Genomic DNA, 14,501 nt, shown 5'->3' with positions numbered 1-14,501 from the left:
CCAGGTCAGAGCTAATCAATTTGAAGAAAATCATCATTGTAGTTTTTTGGTCTATCAAACATCAATATACACCTAATAGTGCAAGCCACCTTGATTTGACCCTTTGGTCAAGAACATTTCATAGAGTTTATCACAAAGAAGATTCTCACCCAAATTCAGTGGATCCTTAGGGTTCCAAATGTAGAAGCAGATTAACAAGTAAAATTGCCAGTTGCCAGAGCAAATGCACTAAAGATGATTATATTAACTAAACATTTCAAAACAAAAACAGTCCTCCATGGCATATAACATACACGCTAGATGCCAGTTATCACAATGAACAGAAACCATTTAGACATCCTTCAGAGTTACAGAGTCTTCATTCTACGAATACTCCTTGTCATGGACTATTGGATACCTACACAGTGGAGAAGATCTTCTGTGGAGTTACAGCATTTTAGGGAGATATATTATGCTGGGATAGGCACTGCCATGCACTAAGCCTGCCATCCCGTTTCAGGGGCTGGATCACTCATAGGACTTAACCAATGGGGTTATAATCATTTTCTTTCTATGCCAAAGACCCAGATCCAAACACGGTATTAACTCTTAATAAGCTTTTCATTTCCCATCATTATTCACATTCTTTTGAAAGGATCTTCCAGCACTTTAGGTAGTCCTAAATGTTCTCATTGGTCCAAAGAAGTCTTAAATGATTTTCATCAGCAACAGTGGCCATAAGACCAAAGTGGATTTATGTTACACAGGCTTGGAAAAGAAGAGGTCTCTAACATTAAATCAGAGAAGATGGAACCTAGAAACACTATAAAATTAAAAATTTTGTTTGCAGTAAGATAAAATGTATAAATCAGACAAAATTACATTAAATCAATAATACATTACCAAAGCAGGATGATTTTCTTATATGGAAAATATTAGGGACTTACTTAAACCAGAATCTCTAGCTTAGGATACAGACTAGAACCTCTGTTCTCCAGGGATCTGGAAGAGTTTACACAGCTTCCCTGGTCAAACAGCACCTCCACCAATGGCTGAAACTAACCCTTTATCACAGAAATAAGAAACTGCAAACCTATCAAAGCATAATGTCATTATTCTCATTTTTCTTTTTTTTTTTTTTTTTTTTTTTGAGATGGAGTCTCTCTCCGTTGCCCAGGCTGGAGTGCAGTGGTGCGATCTCGGCTCACTGTAAACTCCGCCTCCTGGGTTCATGCCATTCTCCTGCCTCAGCCTCCTGAGTAGCTGGGACTATAGGTACCTGCCACCACGCCCGGCTAATTTTTTTTTTTTTTGTATTTTTAGTAGAGACGGGGGTTTCACTGTGTTAGCCAGGATGGTCTCGATCTCCCGACCTCATGATCCATGCACCTCGGCCTCCCAAAGTGCTGGGATTACAGGTGTGAGCCACCGCACCCAGCCTATTCTCACTTTTCTTGTGATTCCCAGTGGGATCTTGAAAAACCAATGAACTCATATTTCCACTTGTTCTACCTGCTAAGCTGAGACAACACTAATTATCACAAACTATTCTCACCTCTCAGAGTCATAGAAAACTGGGATAGTTTGAAGTTTGTGGAAATACAACTTGAGAAATTATTGTCTAAGTGGCAGATTCTAAGCAGCACCTTTTCTGTGTCTATCATTTCTAGTGGCCTACAAAGAAAGCAAAATGTAAGAATAATTTAAAACTGGTTGTGTATTAGAATGGTCTTTACACTATACCCATAAAATGTAGCTGAGATTTATCCATAAGGGGTTGAAATACCCTCACAGTGAAATTTGGACTTAATGAGTTGTCAGAAATGAGAGGCCAAATTGTCAGCTCTACGTTGGCCTATGGTAAAACCTATAATTAAAGTTTGCCTTGCTCAAAAATGCTTAGCTGCACTTCCCCTCCTGAAATACTCTGCCAAGAAAATTTACATTTATGCCATGAGGTTTCCTTTGAAAAAGACAAACAAAACATAAAGTCCTCTTAAGTAGGTGAAGTCTGTGGGTCATTCTACCTAATGCAACCTGCACTAGGAATAGGCAGGTGTTTCTAACACCTACTGAAATGAGCTTCACTGAAGAACTGTTAAGTATTGTCCTAGAGAAAGTGTGTTGCTAAGAGGAGGAGGGTTGTTTTATAACACTTTGGTGATTAGACCTGAGTGCTCTACTGTTAAACAGTGTGTGTTGAACCAGACCTTGGTTCTCTTGGCTCATTGCCTTTAATTTCCATAGTCGGGATCACCTCAAATCTATCTGCAGACTCAGGATTCTGCCACACCCTAGGTCCTGTTCGTTATTTTATTTTGGCTAAGATTAAAGAGCATTAGCTCATAGCTTAGTATCGACTGAGCCTAGATAACACTAATGGGTCACTGTCGTTACTATGGTCATTAATTTAAGACCAACCAAGTTGATTAGGAAGCTAATGAGTTTTTGAGGCAGACGGCTCCGAGTATGAATCCTGGATCTGCCACTTACTATGTAAGCTTTTCGAATTTTTTCTTTCTAAGCTTCAAGTTTCCTCATCTCTAAAAAAGTGATAATAATACCTATACATGATCTCTGATGACTTGCTAGTCTATATACAACACTAGACGACTTTATCATACATTATAGGGACTTAATGAATGCTTATTTCCCTTTACTGCTCCCCTTCCTTTCTGTGTTTAGGTGTAGAAAAGCTTCCTACCATTATAGTCAGTCACTTTGCACGACTCAGACAATCAGCTGTTGATATTCATGCTGGGAGTGACTGTGTGTCCCTAACTTTATCATAGATCTAGACTGGAAACTCAGGTGAGATCAGTGCCTAGGAGGAGTTAGGAATCCAGGCTGCATTTTCCTTTGTGTTCCTGTAACATTGGAACATGCTTCTACCTTGAAACTTATCACATTATTTTGGAATCACTTTTGGTCGATGTGATATTTCCTCCTCGAAGACAGAGTTGAGGTCTTATTCATCCTAAAGTTCCGCAGGCCTAAAACAGCATCTGGTGAAGGGCACTACCCATGCCATGGGTACTTCATGCCATTCCTCTGCAAAACAGGTCCAGATGACATGATTCAACACGCTTCAAGGTGCCCAGACCTCTTTGAAGGAGAAACACACACAAACTCTGGGGACATTGTTTTAGAATGGAACCAGGCATTAGGCAATCATATTTTCTGAAAATCTTTAATAGAGGATTTTCATTTGGAATTGGCCCGTGCAGGCACGGAGGTCTGTCTACATCAGCAGTTAGCATGCATTCTCTCCTAATCTGTGTCCAGTCCAATGATAAGGCAAAGACGTGGATATCTACCATGAAGTACATGCTCAATGGGGGACATTCATGAGCTTTAACAGTTTGGGAACAATACAGTTTAGGACATACGGGTTATTAATAAGCATTGGTACTAATGTTAGTTATAATTCATGAGCACAATCTCACTATTTTCATAATCATCCTTTGTATAATTAAGTTGTTAAAGATATATGTGAAAATAATGCGTGTTGTAGAAATTAGAAGACTCAGGAGATCAGTGTGGGTTGAAAATGACTTTGTGTGTAAAAATAATTATGGTAATAATTAGCATTTGCATGGCTTCTTGAAATTTACAAAGTGTTTTTACAACATTATCTCATCTTGCAAAGGTTATGAACTGGCCTTTAGATGTCTTATGCCAATATTAAGCTTCCCTGCCAAACCTTGTGCATTATAAGGTAAGATTTGCTAGACAGAAAAAAAAAGAGGATTAATAATGCATTTAAAAGGCAAAAAATCTGCCAAATTTATTGGCGTAGAAATAGATTTATTTGGCATTTTAGAAACTAAGGCGCATATCTTGTAAAAGAAGCAGTTGGCTCATATTTTGATTTCATAGTGCTTGGAACTTTTTTTACATTTTGGGGGATGAGTTTTTGATGTGCAATTGTAATGAGGAAGTTCACTTACTTGGAACTAGAAGATTCATAAAATCAGGGGATATTTGAAACTTTTTAAGGGGCAAAACCTAGAGTGACTTGATTAAACCACTGTAAGTAGAAGTATGGTTAGAGAGAAAATGTGAGGAGCTGATCAGTATTTTGTTTAAAACTCAGGTGTCCATTTCCTTATTTTATTTATTTTAGAGACAGGGTCTTGCTCTGTCCCCCAGGCTGGAGAGCAGTGGGGGTGACCACAGGTCACTGCAGCCTGGAACTCCTGGGCTCAAGCGATTTTTCCCTCTCAGCCTCCCAAGCAGCTGGGACCACAGGTGCATGCCACCACACCCGCCTAATTTCTTGTAGGGGTGGGGTCTTGTTTGTTGCCCAAGCTGTTCTCAAGCTCCTGGCCTCAAGTGATCCTCCAGCCTCAGCCTTTCCAGGTGCTGGGAACAGGCGTGAGCCACAGTGCTGGCCTCTCAGGTCTCCATTTCTTAGAGGGAATCCAGATTGATCTGTAAAGTGCTCCTTCCAGCCATATCTTCCTTCCCACAACCACAACTAAAGGTTGAACTTCCTATCTCATCAACCGCCTAATCTAAAACCATGAGTTAATGAGATAAAAATGAGTCACTAAAATGCAAACGTTCTTGAGAATCAACCTTGAAAGTTAAAGACAAGGCCACCTGCCAGCCCCACCCTCCCACCTCCCCTGCGTGCTTGCCTGCGGCGCTGCGTTTCCCTTTGAAAACGCGAGGTCACCTGGACTGCCCCTGAAGGGAAGACCTGCTATGTGACCCAGGAGCAGCCCGGCGCGGACCCAGGTGAGTCATTGGGTTGCACAGGAAGCGAGACGCCTCCGGATAGCTGTGCTGCAGCTCGCGCGCCCCGCGAGGGTGTCGCCGGCGCAGGGTAAGTCTTTCCAGATGTGGCCGCCGCGCGCGCTTGGCCGCGGGCCAGGAGGCCGCCTGCAGTTGGCGCTTCCCGGGGCCGCAGTGCCAGCCGCAATGCCGGCCTCCTGAAGGCAGGCGACAGCCTGCGGCCGGGAGCACAGCGCGGGGCGGAGTACCGAGGCATGGTCGCGGCGCCCGGGCTGCGCTGAAGGCGTCTGCGAGCGGATGGGGGACCCCAAGGCCCACGTGATGGCGCGCCCCCTGCGAGCCCCTCTCCGGAGGTCCTTTAGCGATCACATCAGGGACTCCACGGCCAGAGCCCTGGATGTCATTTGGAAAAACACTAGAGACAGACGGCTGGCAGGTGAGAGGCAGAGGGGGATTGGAGACCGGGGGTGAGGGGTATTAAAAAGAAAACAATTTACTGCGAAGACGCAGTGATAAGCTTGGTTCATGAATGATCTCATCAGCTGGTTGAAGTTTCATTCTTGTCATGGCAGTGTGTTCGGTCTCCCTTTCTCTAGTATTTAACCTTGATGGAGTGTTGAGATTTTTGTGTGTTTGTTTTGTGTAACGCCGCTCTGGTTACTGGTCTGATTATTTCTAGATAAGGAATTATGAGAGTTGTGGGGTTTTTTAACCTTCAAAAGAGAAGCAAGGTCCTTGTGACTGTCAGGAAATCGGTAGTGATGAACAACTGCTGCAAAAGCCCTGAGATCCTCGGGGCTGTCTCGGGTCAGCTTTGGAGCTGAAGCTGATCAGGTGTGAGGTGCCCTGGCGTGTGTGCAGGAGAGGGGCCTGGCAGGTCTGTGTGTCAGTGGAGTGATGGGCGCTGCCCAGTGAAAGCCTGCTGGTATTTCCTCTGGCAGCCTGGAGCTACTCTCGGTTCCAAGACGGTGTCATGTATGCCAGAGGCAGGCGTTTGAAATATAATAAAGCAAATACAGTGGTGCAATTCAAGTGCTCTAGGGCTCATGTGACAGCCACCAAATGGTAGACTGTGTTTGCAGGGGTCCAGTGAGGAGATAGGGACTTCTGTCCGATTTTTGCGTTGGGATAAAATAGCATCTCACTACGATATGAAAAAACTCTCCGAATTAGGGTAGGGTTTCCCAATAGCGTTTATGGTGCCTTCTTGTTTGCTCTCTAAGTCTGTGTTCCTATGCCGTCTACATGGATGGGTCAAAGACTATGTTTTCTTAACCTCTTTGGTCAATCCAGTTGTTTTCCGTATACTGAAGGAAGGTCTGAATTTACAAATATTAGAGGTGGCCTCTAAGAGTCAATACAGAGTTCTGTGCTGTGTTCTTAATAAAAGGTCTTTTGATTTTCACATAATTGTCCTGATATGACTTGAAGAGGGGAAATTTAAAGTGTGCGATTGTGATAAAGCAGATTGTGAAGATAACATGGTAGTTTCATGCCCTCATAAACTCTAATTTGTTCTGAATGCACATGAAAATCTTTCTGTCTGTTGCACTAAACAATATTCCCCAGGACTGACGGAGAAAGTAAACAATGTCAAGTCGAACCATTAGGTAGGGAAGGGAGCAAAATATTTTAAATTTAACCATTTTATTATTGTTTAGAGGAAAATGTGGCACCCTAAAGAAATACGACTTTCCAATATGATTTTTTATTTAACTCTTTAAGGTGTATGATCTCATTTGCAATTAACCAGAAGAAGTTTAAGATGTAAGATTTGGGAGTAAAAAATTCAAAACTATAATTGGTTGACAATTTAAAAGAAAAGGTACTTTCTTCATATTTGTCTTGTTTAATAAACAATGCCGCAAATGAAAAGATTCTATAAATAATATCTTACTAAAGATAATGCAAAAATATCTTGTTGTGGTTTAATGTTTTAATTTGAAAGTAAGACTAATTCAAACATTTATGCTTCTGAGATTTCCTCTTACATTTTCATACATAGCCTTTGACAGCTGATGAGAATAATAATATCCTCTAAGAATAAGAATGTTATCCCTGGAAAGTTGTTCTCTTTCTTCTTATTTGTCTGTTATATATTAATACTATGTTTGGAGTCAAAACATAACAGCAAGTGTAAATTAATGAAAACACTTAGAGAAAAACAGTTAATTTTTATGTGTGATGAAAAATCAAATGTTTTCACAACTCTAGCAGCAAATAGGATTTTTACTGCTCTAGGTCCATTGCGGGAAATAATTCTTTATGTTGCCCAGGGTTTCTAAGAGCAGTATGGACCTCTGAAGTAACTCACACAGTAGAGAATCCAGATACCATGCTTGAAAGGAAAAGACTTTGGCTATGACAACTGACTTTGATTTTGGGGGACCTGGACACTTTTGGTGTCCTCCTCACTCTTGGCTCATGGCTGGAAGCTCAGTTAGTCAAATGAAGATTGACTTGGTGCACAGCCAAACCTCAAGAGCACTTGCTTCCATCCCTTTCCCTCAAGCTTCTCCTCTGCACTCAACCCTTCCACTCACCAAACATGAACTAATGGCTGCTAATGATCCACAAAAAGTCACTTCTCTGAACACCAGAGAAAATCTTTGTTATATGTCCTACCACCTTGCCTTCGTGTGCAGAATGGAGGGCAGTAGAAAGTCCAAACCCTTTTCTTTATGTTGTGAAATTAATGAGGTAACAGGTAAAAAGTGTTTTTTAAGTCTCTGGAAGAGAATACTTCTGTTAATAGTAGCTAGAATGTTATTTCGGTGATGATTATTGCCTTCCTGACTTTCATCAGGTTTCTCAAAAACTAATCTGAGATTTTAGTTTCTTTCACCTAATCAAAGGGTTTGGTCGTGGGATAACATTTTAAGTTTCCTTGTTAGGTATATTCTTATTCATTCTCTCTCTCTCTCTTGCTCCCTCCCTCCCTGTCTCCCTCCCTCCCCCCTTCCCCCTTACACACACACACACACACACACACACACACACACACACACACAGGCACAGTTCTGCTATCCCAAATGATATCATGTACAAAAAGCATCATTTACATCTCCTTGTCTTAAACTCCCTTCTACACGAAACAGGGAGCCTGTCTGTTATTTTTAAGCATCTGCAGCCTTTTATAAACAATATACAGAATTGTTGCCAGGAAAAGGCCTTCAGTTTGTGAGGAAGGACAGATCAGATTGTCTTACTTGCATTCCCCTTTATATATGATCCCCTTTTTCTGCCCAGTTACATCCCACAGGAGTTTCTGTTAATCCTATCTTCTACAACCATTATTCCCAACCCCAAGGTACTCTGTCTTCTTTGCTAAAAGCAGAGGATGGTATTGAGTTTTCAGTGAACTAGAACTTTGAGGATGACAGTGGTTGAGTGATGCAGGGGACAGCTTTGTGCTGGATGAAGTGTGCTTCCTTCTTAAAGCTCCTCTGTGCTCTCACCCCCTCCCCTTTGATTCATGGACATCTGGTCAGCAGAGCACATCACATTCCTGAAGGGCAGTTGCCTCTTAATCCTTCCATAGAGGGCCTTGTAGCCTGCTTTTGTGCCCACGGATCTCTTTATCATTCCTGTGAAACCTATGGATCACTTCTCAGAATAATCTTTTTAAATGCATAAATAAAATATATAGAATTATAGAGGAAACCAATGATAGTGAAATACAGTTATCAAAGTATTCAAAACATAAAATTATGATGTACTAGTATACCGTGAATGAATTACATAAAAGGATAATGCCTTTAAAATATGGAGAAGTGAGTATAAGTTAAAAGCTATTTTTGTTTGTTTGTTTTGTTTTTTGTTTTGAGACGGAGTCTCGCTCTGTCACCCAGGTTGGAATGCAGTGGCGCGATCTCGGCTCACTTTAAGCTCTGCCTCCTGGGTTGACGCCATTCTCTTGCCTCAGCCTCCCGAGCAGCTGGGACTACAGGCGCCCACCACCACGCCCAGCTAATTTTTTTTTTCTATTTTTTGTATTTTTAGTAGAGACGGGGTTTCACCGTGTTAGCCAGGATGGTCTCGATCTCTTGACCTCGTGATCCGACTGCCTCGGCCTCCCAAAGTGCTGGGATTACAGGCATGAGCCACCGCACCCAGCCAGTTAAAAGCTATTTTTAAAGGTATTGTGTGCACACTGTTGTAATTTAACTCAACTAAAAACGTTAAGTTGTGCTGAAAGAAATAAGCTGAAAGAAATTAAATACTAGTCTTTTTTGTTTGTTTGTTTGTTTGTTTGCTGAGACAGAGTTTCACTCTGTCGCCCAGGCTGGAGTGCAGTGGCATGATCTCCGCTCACTGCAACCTCCACCTCCCTGGTTCAAGAGATTCCCAGCCTCTCGAGTAGCTGGGATTACAGGCAACCACCACCTCGCCTGGCTAATTTTTGTATTTTTAGTAGAGGCAGGGTTTCACCATGTTGGCCAGGCTGGTCTTGAACTCCTAACTTCAAATGATCCACCCACTTTGGCCTCGCAAATTGCCGAGATTACAGGCATGAGCCACTGGGCCTGGCCAATACTAGTCTTTATTTAACAACATCTTATAAAGTAAGACCTACTAAATAGTATCAATGACATTGACTTTTTAAAAGAAGGGATTTCTTCTCTCAATTTGGAGAACATGACATATAAGGGAAAAAGTCTAAATGCCTCCACCTGATTGAGATATGTGACGTCACATTATTCCCATAGCTAAACATTTAAGAGCCTGGGTACAGTGGCTCACGCCTGTAATCCCAACAATTTGGAAGCCCAGCAGGAGGACTGCTTGAGGCCTGGAACCCAAGACCAGCCTGGGTAACAGAGCAAGACCTTGTCTCTCCAAAAAATTTAAAAATTTAGCCAGGCGTGGTGGTGACCATCTGTAGTCCCAGGAGCTGAGTCAGGAGAATCACTTGAGCCCAGGAGTTCAAAGTTACAGTGAGCTATGATCATGCCACTGCACTCCAGCTTGAATGACATAGCAAGACCTCATCTTCTAAAAAGGAAAGTAAAAACAAACAAAAATATTTAAGAGAAAGAAGAAAAAACTGAATTGCCTATGAAGAGGGCAAGAAAATTTAGGCAAACCTCTATGCAAGTGAGAGTCAACAGACATAAAATAAATTCTTCAAGTAACTACATTAAGTTGAAATCCCCTGAGGTATTTTGCGGAGTGTTCAGGATCATATGTCTTTTGCAAAATAGATTTTTACATTGCAGCTGATGAGTCCTCCAATTCACTAGCAAAATGAGTGCTGGACACACTCTGTGGTACATTGGCTCTCACTTCAGTGGGGCATTGGGAATTCTGGCCCACTTCCAAGGAAGGGCAACCAAAAACATTGACTCCTGTGAACTGTTCTCTGCTCCTTTGGTTCACAGTGAAAAGCAAGTAAGGGCATATGTAATGCCTTTTAACCATGAGTGATGTAGGCCTCAAAATATGCAGCCTCCTCTAGTAAACAAACACTTTTCCAATCATAGGCAACACCAGAGGAGATTTTTAAAGACAGACAACCGTTAGGGAAGCTTCGTGAGATATTGCAATGTGAACATGTATCTAGATTAAGTTAAATGATACTGTTTTGATAAAAAGAGGAACATGTTGATGTCAAGGGTGGCTTTGATGAGAGAATATATTATATAGTGGCTTAGAGAGTTGACCTGCAACCTCAGGCTGCCTGTGGCTGAGTCCTGGTTCTTGCACTGGGTAATATTAGGCAAGTCAGCATTCCTTGCCAATACAAAGAGGATAACAGCACCTACGTCATGAAATGGTTTTAAGGATTAAATGAGCTACTCTGCAAAGTGCTTAGAGAGTCATTGACATATACTAAGCATTCCTTCAGTTTCAGTTCTTGATACCCTACTTCCTGAGGGCCTTCACCTTGTTAGCATGACACCTCTATAATTGGCTTTGGGCTTTTGGGCAAAAGTGGTTCAACCAGTCCAAAAAAAAAGAAAAGAAAAGGTAAAATGTCAATGGCAAATGGAATAGATTTCTGTATCTCTGGAGAGAAACAAAGAAGGATCTACTGGAGGTGACTTTTGTGCTGATCTTTGTGAACTCCAAAAGGAAATGACTGGAGAATAACTGATTCCACACATTGATGAGGGAATCGGTTCTTGCATATGAGCTTGTCAAGCTAGATATACGATATCTGAAAGTTTTCCTAAGCACGTTGGGACCTGCTTTGAAAATTGCTGTATAGATGGAGCCAAACATGGAAAAGAGCAGCAGCACCAGCAGGCCTGGGCTTTCAAGCACGTGGCTCAGCTGTGGTATGGGAAAAAATATGCTAAATGTCAAGGCTGCCACTTGAAAGGGATGTTTCGCACACCTCCCTTTCTGCAACAAGACTTCTGTGACTTTCTTTATTTAAAGTAGTGTGCATGCACAGTCTGCACATTTTACCAAAGGCCACTGTAATTACAATACCTAGATATGTCCAAAATCGAAGGCCTGGTAGGAGGGTCATATTAATTTGTCACACATCTACTTAAGGATCTGAGGCTATCTCATAAAGCAAAGACTGGATTTAAAAGAACATTCCTCTGGAAGTTCTCTATTTCAAATGAATTATTTAGGTATAGTTGGCAGTTAAACTTGAAAGTTTTTTAATTTCTTTTTTTTTTTTTTTTGAGACGGAGTCTCTCTCTGTCGCCCAGGCTGGAGTGCAGTGGCACGATCTTAGCTCACTGCAAGCTCCACCTCCCGGGTTCACACCATTCTCCTCCTGAGTAGCTGGGACTACAGGCGCCCGCCACCATGCCCACCTAATTTTTTTTTTTTTTTTGTATTTTTAGTAGAGACGGGGTTTCACCGTGTTAGCCAGGATGGTCTTGATCTCCCGACCTCGTGATCCGCCTGCTTCAGCCTCCCAAAATGCTGGGATTACAGGCACGGGCCACTGCGCCTGGCCATGTTTTTAAATTTCTTATTCTAATTACTTAGTTTTAATTATAATGTGTCTTTTTTTTTTTTTTTTTTTTTTTTGACAGAGTTTTGCTTTGTTTCCCAGGTTGGAGTGCAGTAGTATCATCATAGCTCAATGCAGCCTTGAACTCCTGAACTCAGCAATCTTCCTGCCTCAGCCTCCCCTCAGCAGCCAGGACTATAGGGTTGTGGCTAATTTTTTGATTTTTGTAGAGGTAGGGTCTTGCTCTGTCACCCAGGGTGGTCTCAAACTGCTGTCCTCAAGTGATCCTCCCAGCTGGGACTACAGGCACAAGCCACTGTGCCCAGCTTGTCACTCTTGAAGAAAGAGGAAATGCCATTCAGTTGGCATGTGCTGGAGTTGTTTGTGTGTGATGATGATGGATTTCCATTGATCCCTCTGTGCTCTTCCCTGTAGCTCAAGGACAACCACTAACATTTCTGAAGCTGTAGTTATTGATGAAGACCTAGCCATGGAAAACAACAGTTATTCAGCCCCATAATTGTCAAACTCACGACTATAGTACTGCTTTTACTCTTCTTAGGCACAGCCAAAGACAAGGCATGTGCTTTCTTAGAATATGAATGAGGCCGGGAGCGGTGGCTCACACCTGTAATCCCAGCACTTTGGAAGGCTGAGGCGGGCAGATCACGAGGTCAGGAGATTGAGACCATTCTGGCTAACACAGTGAAACCCCGTCTCTACTAAAAATACAAAAAATTAGCCAGGCGTGGTGGCGGGTGCCTTTAGTCCCAGCTACTCGGAGGCTGAGGCAGGAGAATGGCGTGAACCCGGGAGGCGGAGCTTGCAGTGAGCCGAGATCACGCCACTGCACTCTAGCCTGGGCCACAGAGTGAGACTCCATCTCAAAAAAAAAAAAAAAAAAAAGGAAGGAAGCACAGATGGGAGGGGTAGAACATGAGTACAAAGGTTGAGAAACACGGGTTTAAATTTACCTGAAGATACTTATAGGCCCCACTTCCCCTCATGGAGCCAAGAGTATCCTATAAACACACAAAAAGAAGTCAGAATTTCTGGATGCCCCCATAGAGCCAAGGGAAATTCTCTCTGCAAACAAGGCTGGGCCAGGTGGCTTATACCTGTAATCCCAGCACTTTTGGAGACCAAGGTGGAAGGATCACTTGAAGCCATGAGTTCAAGACACCTGGGCAACATAGCAAGACTCCGTCATTACAAATAATTTAAAAATTAGGCAGCTACGGTGGCATGCACCTGTAGCCCCAAATACTCGGGAAGCTGAGGTGGGAGGGTTACTTGAGCCCAGGTGTTTGAGGCTGCGCGCCTGTAGTCCCAGCTACTCGGGAGACTGAGGCAGGAGAATGGCGTGAACCTGGGAGGCGGAGCTTGCAGTGAGCCGAGATCGCGCCACTGCACTCCAACCTGGACAACAGTATGAGCCTCTCTCTAAAACAAACAGAGTCAGGCAAGTTAGTGCATCATCCTTAATGAACTGGCCATTCTCCTCTTTATAAGACAAAAAGACTTGTCATTCCAAAGTGCTATAAGGTTGTATTTTTAATCATATTTTTTAAAATGACATACTGACTTGTTTTCAAAGTTTAAAAGTACTAAAGCCTAAAATATGCCACTATTTAAGATAGAGTGATCTCAACTGATTTAGAAATCAGAATGAACTAAAATTGGAAGTTATACTTTAAATATTTCAATTTACACATAGATTACCCTCAGAGTTTAGCACATATGGGCTGTAGAACTGAAACACATTGTCCTAAGTCATTGTTGATTCCACAGAATTTCAGCCAACAACAGAAACACTCTTAATAAAAACAAATTATCAACTTCTAGACAATCAAAATCACCAAGACATAGTGAAAAGACATGGCATATTATTGCTTGGTGAAATCCTGGTTGGTGATTTTTGAAAGCCCTGATACCATAATGTAACCCTTCTCTCTTGGTTCTTTCTTTCTTTATGTGCTCAGGTAATGAGCACATCTAGGCAATTGCACACACACACACACACACACACACACACACACACACACACACTCCTCAGGAATCACATGACTTCAAAGAACTTTTCTTTATAAAAGATTGAAGATTCCTGAGTTATAGGTTGCTGGTGTAAAAGTCATAATATAACATCTGATTGTTGACACTATGCAGTGGGGGGAACAGTACATTTTATGGTGTCTAGACTTTGTTTTATCTGGTTGATTTTTGGTGACATATTTAGCTTTTTGTAGACAATTCTCAAATTACTGACTCAGCATTCAGTGTGGTTCAGTTTATCATGATCCATCATCTCTAATCTAGTTTTGAATAGCAGGATGTTGTAGGTCCAGATTGAAGTGTGACCTCTGAATGTTTTTCATTCATGGTTGATTACTATATCCTAGAGGTCTAGACAGTGTTATTGGTTTCTCACCAACATAAACATCTGGCAGAAAAAAAAAAAAGCTAAACTAGATGAGTAAGAACATTCCTAATCTACCTTTAGAATATGCTATATTTAAAATATAACTTTTTTGCAAAATGAAGCCCATTTCAGGTCTAAAAGTATGCCATCAAGCATATTGTTTTTCAGCTCTGATAAGACCGTCTTTGGACACTAATGTTTCACTGACGAAAACAAGTTTGAACATGTAATTTCAGGCTGCACTGGAAACATCTTTCTTTTGTGCTGTTACAAGAAGCTAGAATTTCATTTAGTGAATTCCAGCCAAATGAAATTAGCACGTGCATGTCAACTCATGTGTAGCTCGTGGCTGGACAAATGAGTTGGTAAACCAATGAAGATGAGGAAGACCAACTCATGTGCAGCTCATGGCTGGACAAATGGGTTGGTAAACCAATGAAGATG

General features: G+C 41.9%; 1 protein-coding gene across 16 annotated transcripts in view; it reads left to right on the top strand.

Annotated features, from left to right (window-relative positions):
- DLC1 (DLC1 Rho GTPase activating protein) overlaps nt 1-14,501 on the top strand; it is a 521,260-nt gene that overhangs the window by 323,204 nt on the left and 183,555 nt on the right. For 8 of the 16 annotated variants that reach the window (NM_001413128.1, NM_001413131.1, NM_001413129.1 and 5 more), the window contains exon 1: nt 4,896-5,155. The exons of 5 other annotated variants lie outside the window; for them this stretch is intronic. Coding sequence is in view for 5 of the 11 variants with exons in the window: in NM_001413129.1 (NP_001400058.1) it covers nt 5,017-5,155 (139 nt within the window). In the remaining 6 variants the exon portion in view is untranslated. Of the gene's footprint in view, nt 1-4,632; nt 4,811-4,895; nt 5,156-14,501 lie in introns of those variants that run through there. 3 more of the 16 variants (NM_001413126.1, NM_001413127.1, NM_001348083.1) reach the window with 2 other exon arrangements.

Source organism: Homo sapiens, chromosome 8 (assembly GCF_000001405.40).
Source record: "Homo sapiens chromosome 8, GRCh38.p14 Primary Assembly".
Lineage (NCBI taxonomy): Eukaryota > Metazoa > Chordata > Mammalia > Primates > Hominidae > Homo > Homo sapiens.
The sequence above is the reverse complement of the archived record's forward strand: the minus strand, read 5'-3'. Positions and strand labels throughout refer to the sequence as shown.